This window comes from Homo sapiens, chromosome 4 (assembly GCF_000001405.40).
Source record: "Homo sapiens chromosome 4, GRCh38.p14 Primary Assembly".
In the NCBI taxonomy this organism is placed as follows: domain Eukaryota; kingdom Metazoa; phylum Chordata; class Mammalia; order Primates; family Hominidae; genus Homo; species Homo sapiens.
Genome location: NC_000004.12, coordinates 12,872,550 through 12,890,741, shown reverse-complemented (window position 1 = coordinate 12,890,741; position 18,192 = coordinate 12,872,550). Strand labels below are relative to the sequence as shown.

Genomic DNA, 18,192 nt, shown 5'->3' with positions numbered 1-18,192 from the left:
AAGTATGTGATGGAGCCGAGTTTCAAAGTCTGGTTGTCTGCAAGCCCCACTTTCTATTAAACTTTCCTGTCTGCTTAGCAAAACACTCAGCCTCAAGGAAAGCATGCCCATAGGAATGGGTCTGGTCTAATGAAAGTTTTTTGGGCATTTGAATCAGTCACAATTGAGTACTTAATAAACATAGGCTATTCCTTTAAAAAAAATTGACATTTGAAACTTTTTTTTTTTTTTTTGAGACGGAGTTTCACTCTTGTTGCCCAGGCTTGAGTGCAATGGCGCAATCTCGGCTCACCGCAACCTTGGCCTCCTGAGTTCAAGCAATTCTCCTGCCTCAGCCCCGCCGAGTAGCTGGGATTATAGGCATGTGCCACCATGCCCATCTAATTTTGTATTATTATTATTATTATTATTATTATTATTATTATTATTATTATTATTATTTTAGTAGAGATGGGGTTTCTCTGTGTTGGTCAGGCTGGTCTCGAACTCCCGACCTCAGATGATCCACCTGCCTCGGCCTCCCAAAGTGCTGGGATTAGAGGCATGAGACACCGCAGCCAGCCAACCTTTTTTTTTTTTTTTTGAAAAGAAACTATTTTCCTATTTTCTAAGGCTGTCAGAATTGTCTGGGATGATGCACATTTGCACATTAAATGCTTCGCACTGCACTTGGTACATACAGCACACTCAGACAAGGCAAGAAAATTAAATATTGTTAATTTCACTCCTGTCCAGTGCTGCAACTCCTGAAACCTGAAGTCTGTGACTCACCAGTTCTAAGCCCCAGAGTCCTGATGGGGCACCTCAAGGAGACACTTCAGCCACCTAAGTCAGCTGGACCACCCCATGACACAGTCATGGAGGTTCCAGTCTGAATTCAGAGTCAATGATAAGGGAGGCTTCCGTGGCAGAGTGAAAAGCACACACCTGAGAAATGAAAAGAAATGGCAAAGGTCACACGTCTCAGGATGAATTGCACTGTGTGTGACACCCTAGCTGAAATCCTATCCCACAGGACCATCAGGTGAGCAATTAAAGAAAGTGGCTGAAATTGCTTCCATGTTCTTTTTTCTCTTCTAAAAATATCTATGCTGAGACTTTTTCCCCGTGTGTGTGTATACACGTGTGTGTATACACGTGTGTGTATACATGTGTGCAGCTTCCCATGCTTGTGCAGGCCTCTGTGCTAAAGTCGGTGTCTTCATTCAGACTGCACTTCATTATGGTTTTGCTTGATGTCTGCCTCTCTCTTCCATTGCCTTTCTTCTAATTCATGCTCTACATTGCAGCAAGAATGCCATTCCTCTGTTTAATATACTTTCATGGATGCTCATTTGTCTAGACACCTTCTCATGGGACACATTCTGCCTTCTACTTATAACTTATTTATCTGCCTTCTTTTGCACAATGACCACTTCTTCCTTAAAGATCCAGTGTTGACATCATCTCTTCCATTCACGGAGGCTTCCCAACTCTTCCAGGCAGAGTGAGTCATCCATTTCCCTGGGCTCCTCCGGCATCTCATAGAGACTTCTGTTGTGGATTCCCCTGCTCTGTGCCACAATGATGTGTCGACAAGTTTGTCTCTCCCACAGCATACACTGTGGGATTCTTTAAAACAGAGATGGTGTCATGAATTTCTGGTTTGGCAGGTTTGAAAATATTATGCAGAACATTAGTTTTTTTAATAAAAGAAAAATGAATAAACAGAAGGATAAAGCATTAAGCTTAACCTCTATATATACAGAACTCTGTATCTGTAAAAAGAGGATAATAAAGATACCCAGTTGTGGTAGATTAAATGATTAACTGCAATTCTTTACTCTTTCCTTTTGTGCCACATGGGCAGAAGCTTGGGTGTGTTGCTCACTTTGGCAAAGAACATGTGGGTAGACATGAGATGGTGCCAGTTCTAAGCCTGTACCTTAAGAAGAATCACAGTGTCTCTTTACCTCTTTCCTTCTGCCATTACCATGAGAAGCATTCTCTCTGGATACCTGTTCGTATTATCCCTACAGCCTGGAATGCAGTTTGAAGATATGTGCAGAAGAAATGCCCAAGCCGACCCCGGACCTACAGTGAGAAGCAGAACAGCCCAGAGAAGCTCAGCCTAGGGCAACAGAGACAGCCTAGTCAACCTACAGATCTGGGACAATAAATGCTTCTGCTTTTAAGCCACCGAGTTCTGGGAGGTGATTTGTTCCACAGCATTATAGTGGCAATAGCTGATACTTCAACCTCATTTAGTTTTTGTAAGGGCTAGATCTGATAATTCATGTCAAAAGCCCTAGAACGTGGTAAGCACAGATATTAGGATTCACTATTATTAACATTTGATCTTTATTAGCTTATAAAACTAAGTATTTTATGGGAAAGAACAGTTGGAAGAAAAAGCAAGAATCTATTTATCAATTCAATGAGATTCTCATAGCTGAACTTGGCAATTTCTTTGATATTTGCTAAAAGCCTTTCATAGAATGTGAGGCAAGATGATGGGAGGCCTCAGAGGATTCGAATTTAAGCAGAAAGAAAGACAGTCTTGGCACAGTGGCTCTCCAGCATGGGGGGTGCATACCCGCTTCTGTTATCATTGGGATGATCCACCAGCTTTCCTATGGCATTTTCATTTTGCAAAGCATTTCATTTAACAATCCCTCACTTAACCACTCCTTGGAGCCAATCTGTACACAAAAATAGACAGTTACTTCCTAGAGACTGCGAAAAAGTGAGACTTCTAAAGCTTTAGCCAGTAGCCTCTCTTTGTTCATTGAGGGGTCCCATAGTCCCATCTTCACCCCAAACTGCCCTTCTAATCTCGAGGCTAAGATGTCTAATTGCTCCCAGATATCCACGACATGAGGTCCCAGACTCATGTCACGCTTAAGATGTCAAAAACAGAATCCATCATCTTCTCTCTGTATCTAGGACCTTGGCCTCAAGCTGTGGCTCCAATTGTGTCCTTATCTCAGTACCCAAACCAGAACCTGGTGGCATCCATGACTCCTCTCTCTCATTCTTCCTTTCTCTATTCCTTTCCCCAGGCATCCAAGTTCTAATTATTTCTCAGATCACTCCACCTCACTCCATCATCACTTCTTTCACGTCACCTTTTGCCTGGTTAATAGTAAAAACCTCCCTATTTGTCTCCCTGTCTGAACTTCTCTATCGTTTGCTCTTTCTGCTTTTTTTCATATTACTTATCATTGATCACCATCTTTTTTTTTTACTGTGCATATCTGTCTGTGTGTGTCTGTGTGAGTGTATGTGCATGTGTACGTGCTTTCCTAAGTATACTTCATTCTCCCTATTGGATTGTAAATTCCTTGTCTTTAGGAGTCATGCCTAGAATTTTGTTCACACTCAAGAAAAATTTGATAGACCTAATCAAAATTCAGATTAGATATTTAACCAAGCTCTCTGGATAAATGTTTCTACTCCTCCATTCCCATTCGTATTGGTCCATTCTCACACTGCTAATAAAGACATTCTTGAAACTGGGCAATTTATAAAGGAAAGAGGTTTAATTGACTCACAGTTCCACATGGCTGGGAAGGCCTCACAATCATGAATGAAGGTGAAGGAGGAACAAAGTCATGTCTTACATGGTGGCAGGCAAGAGAGAACTTGTGTAGGGGAATTCCCCTTTATAAAACCATCAGATATCCTGAGACTTATTTACTGTTGTGAGGACAGCATGGGAAAGACTTGCCCCAATGATTCAATTACCTCCTACTGGGTCCCTCCCATGACACATGGGAATTATGGGAGCTACAGTTCAAGATGAGATTTGGGTGGGGACACAGCCAAACCATATCACATTTATTAAAGCAGAACTATTTTGAGGGGGAAAGGCAACAATGAGTTCAGAACAAATATTGTTCTACAGGGATCAATTGAATCCCAGTTCAGAGTATAGCTGTTTATAATAGCTTATGTAGGAAAGACTCTTGATAGGAGTAAGGGTTGAAAGGGACGTCAAAAAATAATGTGAAAGAGTGTCCGGGCGCAGTGGCTCACACCTGTAATCCCAACATTTTGGCAGGCTGAGGTGGGCAGACCGCTTGAGGTCAGCAGTTTGAGACCAGCCTGGCTAACATGGTAAAACCCCGTCTCTACTAAAAATACAGAAATTAGCTGGGCATGGTGGTGCACGCCTGGAGCCCTAGCTACTCAGGTGGCTGAGGCACAAGAATTGCTTGAACCTGGGAGACGGAAGTTGCAGTGAGCCAAGATCACGCCACTGCACTCCCGTCTAGGCAACAGAGTGACACGCTGTTTCAAAATAATAATAATAATAATAATGTGAAAGAGGAGGAGACATAACATTACAAAACACATGCTGATTCCCAGGTGCTGCTAAGGCTGTTTCTCCCCCTTTATCTGATTAATCTTCAGAGGCTGGGAGGTAGGAAGAAGGGCCAGCAGGAATTTGAGAGATGTAGTCCATCTGCAAAGGTCTGCATCCACAACGTGCTAGCTACATTGTTCATCATGTTTATAATTCACTTATTAACATGTGTAATACAGGGATGATTATAAAAGTACTTACCTTTAAAGTCGTTTTGAGAAATAAATGAAATAAAACCTCATACAGTCTCATGCAGTCCTCAATGCCACTGTTTAGAGATTGTTAATACCCATTTTACAGACGAGGTAAATCTTGTCAGGACAGCTTGGTAATTGATACAAATGAAGAGTAAAGTTGAGAATCCAGTCCTTACGAGCCTAAAGTCCAAGTACCTTCTGCCTTTCCAATATTCTCTCAGTCTGGGATTGGAAGGACAAGATGGGAAAGGACATGCAGGAATAATCTCTAGGAATTGCCCCGTTGTAACTCATGACCGCCCCCCATCCCTGAACACCTTTCTCCACACATTTACCTATTTCATCTGGCTAAATGTTTTCCCTTCTTTGAGGACCACCAGAAATATTGCTTCCATGGTTATGTCGGCTAAGCTCCTGGTGCTGCCACGTGGACTCTAACTCAGACCCTGATCCTATTAGAGTCTTTCCAAACCTTGAGATGACAGTAACACTTTGAACTGTGATATATGGCGGGGCCGGGGGTGGGTGGGGAGGGGGCTGTCGGAAGTCATACCATTATTTACCACAAGGGGTTAATTTTCTGAGGACAAAATCTTTTCGTCCTTTTTATTATGCATCGTTTTTCAAGGAGGATGTTGGGGATTATAGTGATAGTGTGCACAAATGAAATGACCCTGGTGCTGCTGGCAAAGACTTGGATCTGCTCTGAGTTTAAAGGGAGAAGACAAGGATGCTCCCGGATACGTGAGCAGGCTGACTACGCTAAGGGGGAGAATGGCTGAGTCCTAACTATCTTTTAGATGTCAAGTGCATTTTTTTCTCCCCTGAGAAAGAGAATGTTTTGTTTATGATGTGGCTTTGGGTGGATTAAGTTGGGCAGGCAGCACACAAAAGGAATCCTCTTAAGCCTCATCTCCTCTGAGGCCCGCTGTTTTCCACTTTCTGACAGCACTGGCTGTGACTTCAGTCTTGCTACCTGCCTGATCTTTCACCCTAGGACAGAAACAAAGGTGATGAAATTGAAGGCTCAGCGAGGGAGCCTGGCTTTTCACCTTGCAGGTGTGAGGAAGAAAGGGCTGGTGTGGGGGAGGGAACTGCAAGGAATGCCCCTACACGCTGTGGTCTTCTCCCAAACACGACCCGAAAAGCCCGTGTAGAGTTACACATGTACCCCATCCCGCCCTCCGGCAACAGCACAACGGGTTTATGGGTCAGAGTGGGGGAAGGGACACTTTGTGAATGCAGCTGGTCGTCATTTTAAATCTTAGTAGAAGAAGAAAAGGTGCAGACAAAATAAGCTGTCTGGACAAACCACTAGGTGGATTAGTAATGCCTGAACTTGATGGAGAAGCCAGAGCCCAGGGTCAAAGGATAAACTGATTGGGGGAACCTTTTTGATGCCTGAATTTTAGTGAAGTGATTAGTGCCAATTAGAATGACACTGGAGAAGAGGCTGGAAAGCTGGGGCCTCCGGAGCGTGTCAAGAGAAGGGGTTTGTCGGCTGAGGCGCAAGGGAAGATGGGTGATTAGGAAACATAATTTGCTCAATTACTTGTGATTTGGCTCAAGTTGGTTTTTGGGACTGTTTTTGTAACCTGAAAATAGGGGCCTTAGAAGCCTTTGAAATGTAGAGTGAAATAATTTCAACCCAAAGCAGACTTTAAGAACATAAAATCTGCCCGGCTAGTTTGGAACCACCATGGGCCCAAGCTGCCATTTTGTCATTGACAGGGGCACCTGGGGCAGGAGGGAAGTGGATAGGGAAAGGGCTGAGCTGTCAAACACAAGAATTAAGGGAGTACCTGATATTTTTCCAGCAGTTGTCTTAGTCCATTTACATTGCTATAAAGGCATTTCTGAGGCTGGGTAACTTATTTTTAAAAAAGAGGTTTATTTGGCTCGCAGCTCTGCCAGCTGTACAAGAAGAATTATGTCAGCCTCTGCTTCTGTAGAGGGCTTCAGGAAGCTTCCATTCATGATGGAAGGCAAAGCGCAGCTGGTGAGCACATATCACATGGAGAGGGAAGAAGAGAGTAAGAGGGGAGGAGGTGCTACGCTCTTTTTTAACAATCAAATCTCTCAGAGACTAATAGAGCAAGAACTTACTCATTACCTCAAGGACTGGCACCAAGCCATTCATGAGGAATCTGCTCCCATGACCCTAACACCTCCCACTAGGCCCAACCTCCAACTCTGGGGATTACATTTCAACGTGAGATTTGAAGGAGACAAATATGCAAACTATATCAGTGGTCTATCACAGACTGTCACCTAAATCAGCCACTGAAGCTATTCCCAAGCTGTCATTGTGTTTGCCTTTCCTGCCTTTTGGAGTAAAATTGTGGTGTGTTGACCTGATCCCTTACTAGTTGTATGGACTTTGGCAAGCTACTTAAGTTCTTAGTATCAGCATCCACATTTTAAATACAGGTCAAATAATAGCTATTCTTATATAATTGTTTTGATCAGTAAGTGGGAAAATAATAAAATATGGTTAATAATACTATAGCACTTACAACTTACCACATACTGAACTAAACAACATACACATATATTAGCTCATTCCTTCTCACACTAGCTATGAATCTGGATTTCATAAACCCCATTTCAGAGCATAGGGAATTGTTCATTCTATGATTGGGCTTACCTTGGGATCAGAGCTAAGAGCTTGGTGGCTGTGGGGCTGTCCTCAAACCTTTGTGTCTCAGGATCTGCTCAACTCACAGAGTAGAGGGTATGAGTGAATGGACTGGTTCTCACTTCAGTTTTAGTTGTTTCAGAAATATGCATTCTATCAGTTGCCTGAAAGATTGGGCAATTCAATGTGATAGAAGCTGAGACAGTTGCATGCATATTAGCCCAAATAAGAGTCTTTTCTGAGAAATAGAAATAGCTGGCCTCAAACTGTATTTATAATCACTTTCTCCTGTGCTTTGCACACAGAGTCCAAGAAACACATTAACCAAACTGTATAGAATAAATTAAGATATTTGAGTTTAACAGATAAAATATTGCCTTTTAAAAAATAACTTGAAATGATATTCCAGTGGTTGCTTCAGTCTCACTTTGTTCCTTCAAAAAAATATATATATATCTTGTTCTGAAGAAAGCTGAAATATATATATTAAAATATGTAAGAAATATATATTAAACATATTAAAAATATATATTAAATGTACATGAAATACATATTAAATATATTAAATGTATGAGAAATATATATATGAAATGTATATATGAAATATATGTATATGAAATATATAGAATATACAAATATATACTATATATGAAATGTATATGAAATACATACACAAAATATATATACAAAATGTATATGAAATATATACATGAAATATATATATTTCAACTTCCCTCAGAACAGGGTGGGGCCTAAAATATAGGAATCTTTAAGCTTTTACATAATTCTTTCCTCTATGTTTTCCACATGTATGGAAGAAAGCATATGTGTTGCAGTAGGGCCATTTTATTTCTAGTGATTGTCTATTCCTAGACAACTTGATTCTGTCAAGCCAGATAGAAGAACTCATTTTATATAGTGACAATAGACATGAGTAAATTATCTGTTAAAAAGGCACAGAGAGAACCAAGAACTAAGTTGAGCTGTCACCAACAAAGATGCAAAGTTCATTGAATGTTAAAAGAGTTGGGCTGGCTAACTCTGGTCATCTGACTTGAATATTAGAAGGGTTTAACTAGTAAGCTGCAGCAGAGTTTCTCAGACTCAGCACTACTGAGATTTTGAACTGGGCGATTCTTTGTTGTAGAGAGCTGTGCTGTGCATTACAGCATGTTAGCAGCATCCCTGGCCTCCTTCCATCAGATGTCAGTAGCACCATCACCCCCAGCTGTTACAACCCAGAATATTCTAGACATTGCCAAATGGCTACTATGAGAGCAAAATAACTCCTCTTAAGAATCAGATTTAATTTATATTTGACTTACATTTATACCAGAGATTAGCAATTTTTTTGTGTGTTTGTTTGTTTGTTTTGCGAAGCGTAATAGAGTAAATATTTTAGACTTGGGACCTATTACTATACTGTGTCAATACTGTGCAAAAATATTTACACATAATATACAAATAAAAGAGCATGGCTTTGTTCCAAAAAAACCTTTATTTAGAAAAAGATAAAACCAGAAGTCTGACTGGATTTGACCTCTGATTTATTTCACTGAGAAATAACAGGACATAAGATTACATAATATGTTGCTTGTAATGAGTGAAAAAGAACACTTCTACTCAAGAATCAAATAAATGTCACTGATAGCTCCATTCAGAGATATCTGCTGCCATCTTCTCAATATGAGTACACACACACACACGTGCATACATACATTTTTTGTTAAGGACACAAATTTGAAATCTTACTATATAAGTATAATGTTATATCTGAATGTTTACTTCATCACATTATTTATAACGTAAGTAATTTTTGGTGTTGTATATTCTTTTTTTTTTTTTTTTTTTTTGAGACAGACTCTCACTCTGACACCCAGGCTGGAGTACAGTGGCACAATCTTGGCTCACTGCAAGCTCCGCCTCCTGGGTTAATGCCATTCTCCTGCCTCAGCCTCCTGAGTAGCTGGGACCACAGGTGCCCACCGCCACACCTGGCTAATTTTTTGTATTTTTAGTAGAGACGGGGTTTTACCGCATTAGCCAGGATGGTCTTGATCTCCTGACCTCGTGATCTGCCCGCCTCAGCCTCCCAAAGTGCTGGGATTACAGGTGTGAGCCACCGCACCCAGCCTGTATATTCTTAATAAATACAACTTTTAATGACTGGGTAAGTCATTCATTTTATTGATATACCACAGTTTATTTCCTATAATTGGATATTTTTCTTTTTCCCATTTTTTCCTATCATGTGAATAAAAGTGCAATGAATATCCATTTATCTGATAATTTGTATAGGACAAATTTCTAAGGGTAGATTAAAGAATAAAAATAGTTTTAAATTTTCTTGATCATTTTTACAAATTGACATTCAGAAATTATCCAATGGCTTATATTCCCATCAGAGAATTAGATATTTTGAATTTAGTTGCATCCTTGATTGTCAACTTCCAACAGGCAGGGTGCACAGCTTTCCACTTTAACCATTCCCCATAGTACCCTGCACAATGTCTGCTATAACCCTCCATATGTAGAGCAGAACACAGAATTCCAAAACCGAGATATATGCTATTGTAAAAAATGTAAAATTTATTTTCACATCTTCAGAACAACTCTGGTTTGCGGTCCATGGGAGTGACTGGTTGTATATGGAATGTTCCTGCAAGTATGGGACAAGCAGTAAAGGCCACAGTCTCAGGATCCAAGTTGCATAAATGGACATGTCTCAAGTTGAGTGGGTGTAAAAAAATGACATAGGACTCACATAGTAGAGTTATTGGCATGAAAGGAAGACCAGGAGGGGTCCCATTTCCTTGAACAATTCTAGGGTTGTGTCCTTTAAATGTGCGGAATATTACCATTAGGAAAATATCATTTATGTGGATCATTGGATTTCCTGTTTTCAATCCCTGCAAACATTCTGGCAATCTTCAGAGGTAGCAGAAACCACAATCATGCTGTACAGAATCTCGAGCTTGCATAGGCCACCCAATCCTATGGGGAAATTTCTTATAACCGGTTCTTTCTCACAATTCCTCCAGGCCTAGGTGAGACAGCTGACCAAACTGCAGACCTGGGCTCTGTTGAAGGAATGAGGAAGGCTAAAATCTAGCATGTCTTGTATTTTATCCTCCAGGGTTGAGTCCAATATGGGGTGAGAGGTCTGAGCCACACAAATTTTTCCACAGAAAAACTGGAGAGAACTAATGCTTTGCCTCTGAGTGCTTATTTCTGTGGCTCTTTGGCAGTGTTCCTTGAGCTTATTTCACCAGAGCAGATTGTCGATATTAGACCAGTCCTCAGAAACCTCTGGCTTTCAATCTCAGCAAATTATGTGTGTGTGTGTGTGTGTGTGTGTGTGTGTATACGTGTATACCTGTATGTAGATATTTATATATAAATATCTATATCTCCATATCTATCTGTATCTCAATATCTATTTATATATCATAGATAGATGGCAGCAGATATCTATCTATATATATTTATATCTATCTATCTATCTATATATATCTGCAGGTGTGTTTGAAAATCTTAAGATCACGATGATATAAATGATGAACCCAGAGCCCTATGTTTACAACCTTATCACCCTGATCATGTGGTTTTAAATGTTTCAGTTACAGATTATTTGGCCAGGAAATCAATACTTTCTTCAAAGATCTTTATGCACTATTAGCTCTCAGTGGTACTGGTTACCGGATGGGCACAGAGAACCCATTCTGAAAGAACTGTGACTGCTTTTGGTGAAAATGAGTAAATGTGACCTAGCATTGTGAAAAGAACACATGTCACCCATGTCAGGCTCTCTGCTTGGATTGACACTCTTGGAAGCGTCTTAAGGCACTTGCAGCCTGTCAAAACCCTTCACTGAAAAAGTGACATATGATTAAAGGCCTCAGTTCCGTTACACACTTACATAAATGCCATTTTCCTGGATGAGGCACTTCATGCTGCTGCAGCTAAAATTGCAGCCCGTAACCCACACTGAGCACTTTTTATTTTTTTTTCTTGGCTTTAGTTTCTCCTGTAGAACTGATCACGAGTTAACATGTGATAGATTGACTTATTTACCCTGAGTATTGACTGTCCGCCTCACTCAACTGTAAGCTCAGCAAGGGCAGGTTTTGTGTGCTTGTTTCTGTTTTTATTTGCTGTGTGGAACCATCAACTAAAACAGTTGGCAATGTACTTTGATTGCAGGGCACACAACGGTAGCTGGATAAGCTTCCTTCTTGGATAGCTTAGAAGCTTCCGAGGGCAGCCATTATGTATAAGAATAGTGAATGTTTAATGTATTATTGTGATTTTCCTCGATTTGGTCCTGAAATATCTCTCTGGAAATAGCCTTAAGCTATGATAATCGCTTTCTAGGAGAGTCTTGATGGGGGAAAGTTACGTTGAGGTATATTGATTAGGTGCAAAACAGAGCAGGCAACACAACAAAACAGAAAATAAAAGAAACATTTGATCACTCACAGGTCCACGAGAGAAGAGGTGTGCTCAGGAGGGCTGACTGGAAGTCTGAAGACAGCATGGCATACAACCAATGGGTGGAGAGCAGGAGCCAGAGATGACATATGGGATGAGGCCTTCATTAAAGTCCATGGGTATTATCCATCAGGCTTTCCTGTAGGGATTGTGGATTGGTCAATTTAAAGAAAACACTTGTGAACAGGAGTACTTATCTACATGATTCTGACATTGATCATTGAGTTTTATCATGGACAGTAGCTGTGGGATTTTAGGCTAGTGAGATAGGAATAAGCAGGCCATATTGCAAACAACAACAGGGGCAAGAAAAGTTTTAACTAGTCCAAAGGTGAAGGAATATAAACAGGTTTCCAACAGTGGATACCAGGCCTAAAAATGGATGCCAAGGCAACAACTATATTAAACAACTTTATGACACATACATTTGTCATATAAATAGTCAGTCCTCTTGTATGTAGAGAAAAAGAATAATGATTAATATGTAACATGTTCAGATTTTTGCCTAATGGATCTGCTTTTAAGTGAAGAGGTTACATATTCTAATCTGCTCTATAAGCCACAGTCTCTGTACTTGCTAACTATTATTTCACCTTTATAATGGCCCTCTGAGGTCAGTTGTATCGTTTTTTTTTAACAGTTAAGAAAATGGAAACTGAGGCTGCAAGATGTAAAGTGATTCCAAAGATTAGTGAAATGCACAACTTTTCCACTATATGAGGCTGGCCTAAAGAATTCCTCAAAAGATGTGGAGTAGGAGTAGCTTTGCATTTATTATGAAGTCCCACAGGCACAAAGTGCCCTCTAAAGGCATGATTTTTTTTTCCTGACAATTTTTATTGGGTCAGGACATAATAACATGACATTTTTATGGGACTTTCATCTCAGAATCCCAAAGCAATCCCAAAGCACTTAGAACACATTATTTAGCTCTCACAACTTAAAAGGTAGGTAGCAAATTATTTTGATAGGAAATTAACTATAATAAGGCTGGCAACAACAGCATAACAAGTGCTAGTGAATTGCCTTAAAGGAATGCAAAGGATTCATATACATTTCCTAGGTTAGAGGAGAGGCTACTTATTAAAGGAAAGTGGAGTGGGAACAAGATTTGAGAAGATTTAGGATCTCTTTCCATGGGTGGATGTCTTAGAGGTAGCAATGTTTCTTGTGCTGTGATTAGTGAGGTTGACTATTAACTCTCAACAAACATATGGTCATGTCTTCAAAAATAATTTTTTTGAAAATATAGCTAAAGAGTAGAGTTATGGACATCATTCAGTTCAACATTTATTTTACACCACTATATAAAGCTTGTGGGATGGATAAGATTTGGCTATTTTTTAAAACATTATTTCTTGTCTACTCCTATGCATGGCATCTGAGTAGAAAATGCTGAAATGAGTTTTTCCTATGCCAATATTCCAAGATATCTCTTTTCTACTGTAATGATAGCAATATTTATTGAAAGGCACATTTGTCTTTTCACTTCCCTCTTTACTGAAGCCTTGAGAATAATTCCCAAATAGAATCATAGCGTTCCATTAATCTGAGAAACTCTTATGATTACTCTATTATAAAGTAGTAACTGGGTTATCCCCTGAATAATTAAGAATCATTAACTTAGTCCAGGTCATTAAAGATGATCTGATGTGGAAGACAGGTGAATTTACTCAAGTAAAACAGAAACACACAGAGATAAGTGGCTACCAAAGTTCCCACAGCTAAATGCTGGTGGAGATGGGATTCACCCTTTGATCTCTGACTCAAATCTGGTGCTCTTTCTCATTCATCCCACTGATAAAGAAAAATGGTTTTGATTTTACTTTCTTTTTGCCAAGGGCTTATGCAATTAACTTATTGTGTACAATTGATAGGGACAGGGGGCAGAGAAATTCTAGGCAGAAAAAGGCAGGTCCCCAGCAAAACCCCACGCTGAAGCTGGAAAGCCTGAAACCATGGCCCAAAGTGAGAACCTATGTCTCTGTTTTCCTATTTGAATGTTGTCTTTTCCTAATCCACCCATGGCTCTCCTCCACCTTATCCTGTGCCTATAAAAACCCCAGACTCAGCCAGCAGATGAGACTATGGCTGGACATCAGAGAGAAGCAGCTTGACTTCAGAGGGACAGCTAGACCATATAACTTTGGAGAACAATCTGGCTGGATATGGCTGGACTTCAGGGAAAGATTACCTATCCACCCCATGCATTTTTGAGCTCCCCTTCCCACTGACAGCCACTTTCATTGGCAATAAAATCCCCCTCATTTACCATCTTTCAATTTGTTCACGCAACCTCATTTTTCTGGATGCCAGACAAGAGCTCAGGAGCCGCAAGTGCAGATACAAAAGGCTGTCACACTAGCCCTTTGCCCTTGCTGGCAGGGGGCAGCTGTCTCACGCAAAAAGGCAGAGGACCCATAAAAAATGATGAGTTCATGTCCTTTGTAGGGACATAGATGAAATTGGAAACCATCATTCTCAGTAAACTATCGCAAGAACAAAAAAACCAAACACCGTATATTCTCACTCATAGGTGGGAATTGAACAATGAGATCACATGGACACAGGAAGGGGAACATCACACTCTGGGGACTGTTGTGGGGTGGGGGGAGGGGGGAGGGATAGCATTGGGAGATATACCTAATGCTAGATGACGAGTTAGTGGGTGCAGCACACCAGCATGGCACATGTATACGTATGTAACTAACCTGCACAACGTGCACATGTACCCTAAAACTTAAAGTATAATAATAAAAAATAAATAAATAAATAAATAAATAAAGGCAGAGGACCCACTAAGCTGTTAACACTTAAGCCGTCCATGGATGGCAGAGCTAAAAGAGCACTGTGAGGCTTCAGGGGTCACAGGCACCCCTGCCTGGACGTTGCCATGGGGCCTACATGGAATTTGCTCTTGCTGGCACTAAAGCATCTGGCTGGTTCCTGCACCTGCTTACCTGTGTGCTGCCTCCCACAAGGAGTAGAACACAGTGTGTCTGAGTGAGTGAACTTTGATCCCACTGGTGCTGAAGCAGCCAGATTGTTCCAGCTCTCATTCACTCCAGTTCCCATACCCATTTGCTCACACTCTCCCTCCTGCTAGTTGAGAGTGGTGGGCTGAGTAAAAGAGGCTCTCCTCTCGTGAGTCCTGTGAAGGCATCAGGGAAATATTCTGCTTCATGATCACAGTTTTTCTTTGCTTAAGTGTCCTCCTGAACCTTGGGACATTATTTACTTGATCTTTCAAAGGGATCACCTGACCTGAGGTTTAGGGATTATGTCTGTGGACTCAAGCTGGATATATTTGTTTGCTAGGGCTGCCATAATAATGTTCCACAGACTGGGTGGCTTAAACCATGGACACTCATTTTCTGGAGGTTAAAAGTTTGAGATCAAGGTGTCAGCAGTGTTGGTTTCTTCCTAGACCTCTTCCCTTGGCTTGTAAATGGCCACCTTCCCCCTGTGTCTTCATATAGATTTCCTCTGCATCTGGGTCTTCCTTATCTCTCTTCTCGTACTAAATTAGAGCCCACCTAGAGGACCTTATTTTAACTAATTACCTCTTTAAAGACCCTCTCTTTAAACACAGTCATATCCTGTGGGGGTTAGGACTTCAACAGGACATAAATGAGCCCATAACACTGGATGTGTGGAAACACTGAGCTCCATAACTTGGAGGCAAGATTATGCCTATCATAATAATAATACTATGTATTTTAAATTCAAGTTCCACCACATGACAGGGAATGGACAGGCTTTATCCCATGTTGTGTCATTAAAGCCTCACAAATCATGTCTTACTGGGCCTGTTTTCTAGGTTAGGTAGCTAAGAGAAGGTAGGTGATTTCCCTGAGGTCACACAGCTAGTAAGTGGCACAGGCTGAGATTCCCAATGACCTCCAAAGATCCCGTAGGTTTCTCTCCAGTTGGATTCAAATGCTGCAGCACTCTCAAGGGGATGCCCTCGCTGAAACACAATGCCAGGCCTGTCACTCAGAGCCCGAGTGTTCTTAAGCCATGAGGGTGCAAGCTTCAGTAGTGAGGGGAAACAGCCCAGACCAGAGGCACTGCAACTCTCAATGCAACACCAGGAGCCTTTCATGAAAGGCCACTCAGCCAGGCCCAGGAAGGCTGAAAGACATTTAAGTACTGCATGTTCTAACATGCAAAAAGCAACAGCTCTCCACCAGGCAGGACTGAAATCAAAAGCCCAACACCATTGCCTCTCTGAGGGGCAGCCTGTCTCCCAGGAATGTGGCCATGATAAATGAGAAATACGTATAAAGTGTGAGCCCTTGCCCCAAAGGGTGCTGAATAAATGTCGGGTATTATACTATTGTTTATTTGGGCTACCCAAGTGCATTGGACTGAACAAGAGTATTTCTTTCACTGACAACCGTGGTCATTGTGGTGAAAAGATTTATGTTAGGATGTATGAATGATGCCTCTGTGTACATGTGTGTGTTTATGTGTGCATGTGTGTGTGAGTGTGTGTGTGTGTTGCTAATATTTGGTGTGCTTTGTAGGGTAGTGGGGGCTGCATTTATCCTGGAAAATGAGCTGGAAATTTCAGGAAAGTTTTGGTTACCCACAACTCCCATTTGACGGCCTTTCCGAAAGTTTTAGATTTAATCACAGAATCTTTATTTGAAGAGGAGCTCAGGGATTGCCTAATCCTTGTGTTCACCTAGTTTCAAGGCTTTACTATAACATTCTGGAGATGTGATTAAACAACTTCTGATTGAATGCTTCTGCTGATGGTGGACTCACTACCTCTGGAGGGACATTTGTTCCTTTTGCTGACAGCTTAAGGGAACGGAGGAAAGGAACCTTTATAGGGCACTTTGAATATTTCAGGCACTGTGCCCAAAGCTTTACATGTGTCATTGCATCTACTTGTCTTCGTAACACTTGAGGTAGTTTTTATTTCTATTATTATTATTACTACTAGGAGCAAGGCTTATTAGGAACCACATACACTTCTTTGCACTTTATATATAGTAAGTCATTTAATTTTTCCAACAACCCTCTGAAGTAGCTACTTTTATTTCTCTATTTTATAGATGATGAAACTGAGGCTCAAAGAGGTTAAACAGCTTGCTTGAGTTCACATAGCTAGAAAGTGAATTTGAACACTGGCAGTAGGTCCAGAACTCACACTTACATAGTAATGTTCTGCTGCCTCTAATTATCCTCATTTTAATGACATTTTAATCCTCTGTGAAAACTGAGTCACAGAGCCTTTGTGACAGGTCACAGGTTACACAGTGAAAAAGTGACAAAATGGTGATTTGAATCTGCTTCTGCCTGACTCCAAATTCTTGGTTTCATAACTCCATATGGCCTTCAGGTAGGAAAATGTGCTACTTGTACCAGTTGGGACAAAATTGACCCCCCTTAAATCCTGTGCATGGACCCTTCAGGGTCTGCTGTAGAATTAATCCACAACAGCATTTCAGATTTATAAGCAGCTTAGGTTGGCTTCAAGTCTAAATATATGCAGTTCTTTTGTTATTCCTTGCTCTTTAAAAGTTCTACATTCTGTAGTCTCATTGTCTCCTTCCAAAAGAGGAAAATTTGAAGTCGGGTAAACATCCTTGAGCCCCAATCATATGGAGTGATCTGAATGGACCAGAACGAACAGAACTATAATATACCCCTGCTCATTTATTCAGTTGGTCAATTACTTGGTAAGTAAATAAAAGTGCATTCAATGATCTGTGAAATATCAATGATTGGCTGTCATATATATATACACACACATATATGTATATATATATATACACATATATGTGTGTGTGTGTGTATATATACACACACACACACACACATATATTTGAGTACTTTGGGTTGTGAAATATTGGTCTGTTTAGTCATGCACTTGCACCTAGTATTTTTATAGCTATTGCATTTTAAAAATACTGATGTGTGATGACTAAATCCCCCTCCTTTTTTTTTCAAAATTGTCCTGTTAGTCTTAGTCACATATGTTTCCTTATTAACTTCAGAATAATTTTTTAGGCTTTGTAAAATGTCCTGTTGATGTTTTCATTGTTACTACACTTAAATTGTAGTTTCCTGACACTTTTTTTATATTCAATCTTTTAAGCCATAAACATGATATCTCTCATGGTTTAAGTTTTGTTTTTTCTCTTTGGGTAAATGTTAAGGTTCCCCTATAAAGGTTTTACATATTTTCTTAGATTTATTTAAAGGAACTTTACACTTTTAGTTGATGTTTTAAAGGTTATCTTATAATACTGTTTTTGAACATAAGTTTTTAACATTCTAATATTTTTTGCATTTTATTTTCATTTTGACAATTACGTTTTCACAGTATGTTTTGTGGAATCTTTGGCTTCTGGGAAGTCACAGCAACTCCAGGAGTCTTGAGGTGGGAGTGAATTCTGATGCAGAGAGAGCAGGACTCAAGATCCCTCTCCTCTAAACCACTAGGATTTGCTCCATTCTAATTGAAATTATATATTAGAAATTCAGGTGTGAAAACCATGCTA

General features: G+C 40.3%; 1 long non-coding RNA gene across 9 annotated transcripts in view; it reads left to right on the top strand.

Annotated features, from left to right (window-relative positions):
• LOC105374493 (uncharacterized) overlaps positions 1-13,950 on the top strand; it is a 98,514-nt gene extending 84,564 nt beyond the window's left edge. For 7 of the 9 annotated variants that reach the window (XR_007058044.1, XR_001741370.2, XR_007058048.1 and 4 more), the window contains one exon: positions 736-2,178. This is a non-coding gene — a long non-coding RNA (uncharacterized LOC105374493). Of the gene's footprint in view, positions 1-735; positions 2,179-11,664 lie in introns of those variants that run through there. The other 2 variants (XR_007058047.1, XR_007058049.1) reach the window with 2 other exon arrangements.
• The last annotated feature ends 4,242 nt before the right edge of the window (positions 13,951-18,192 follow it).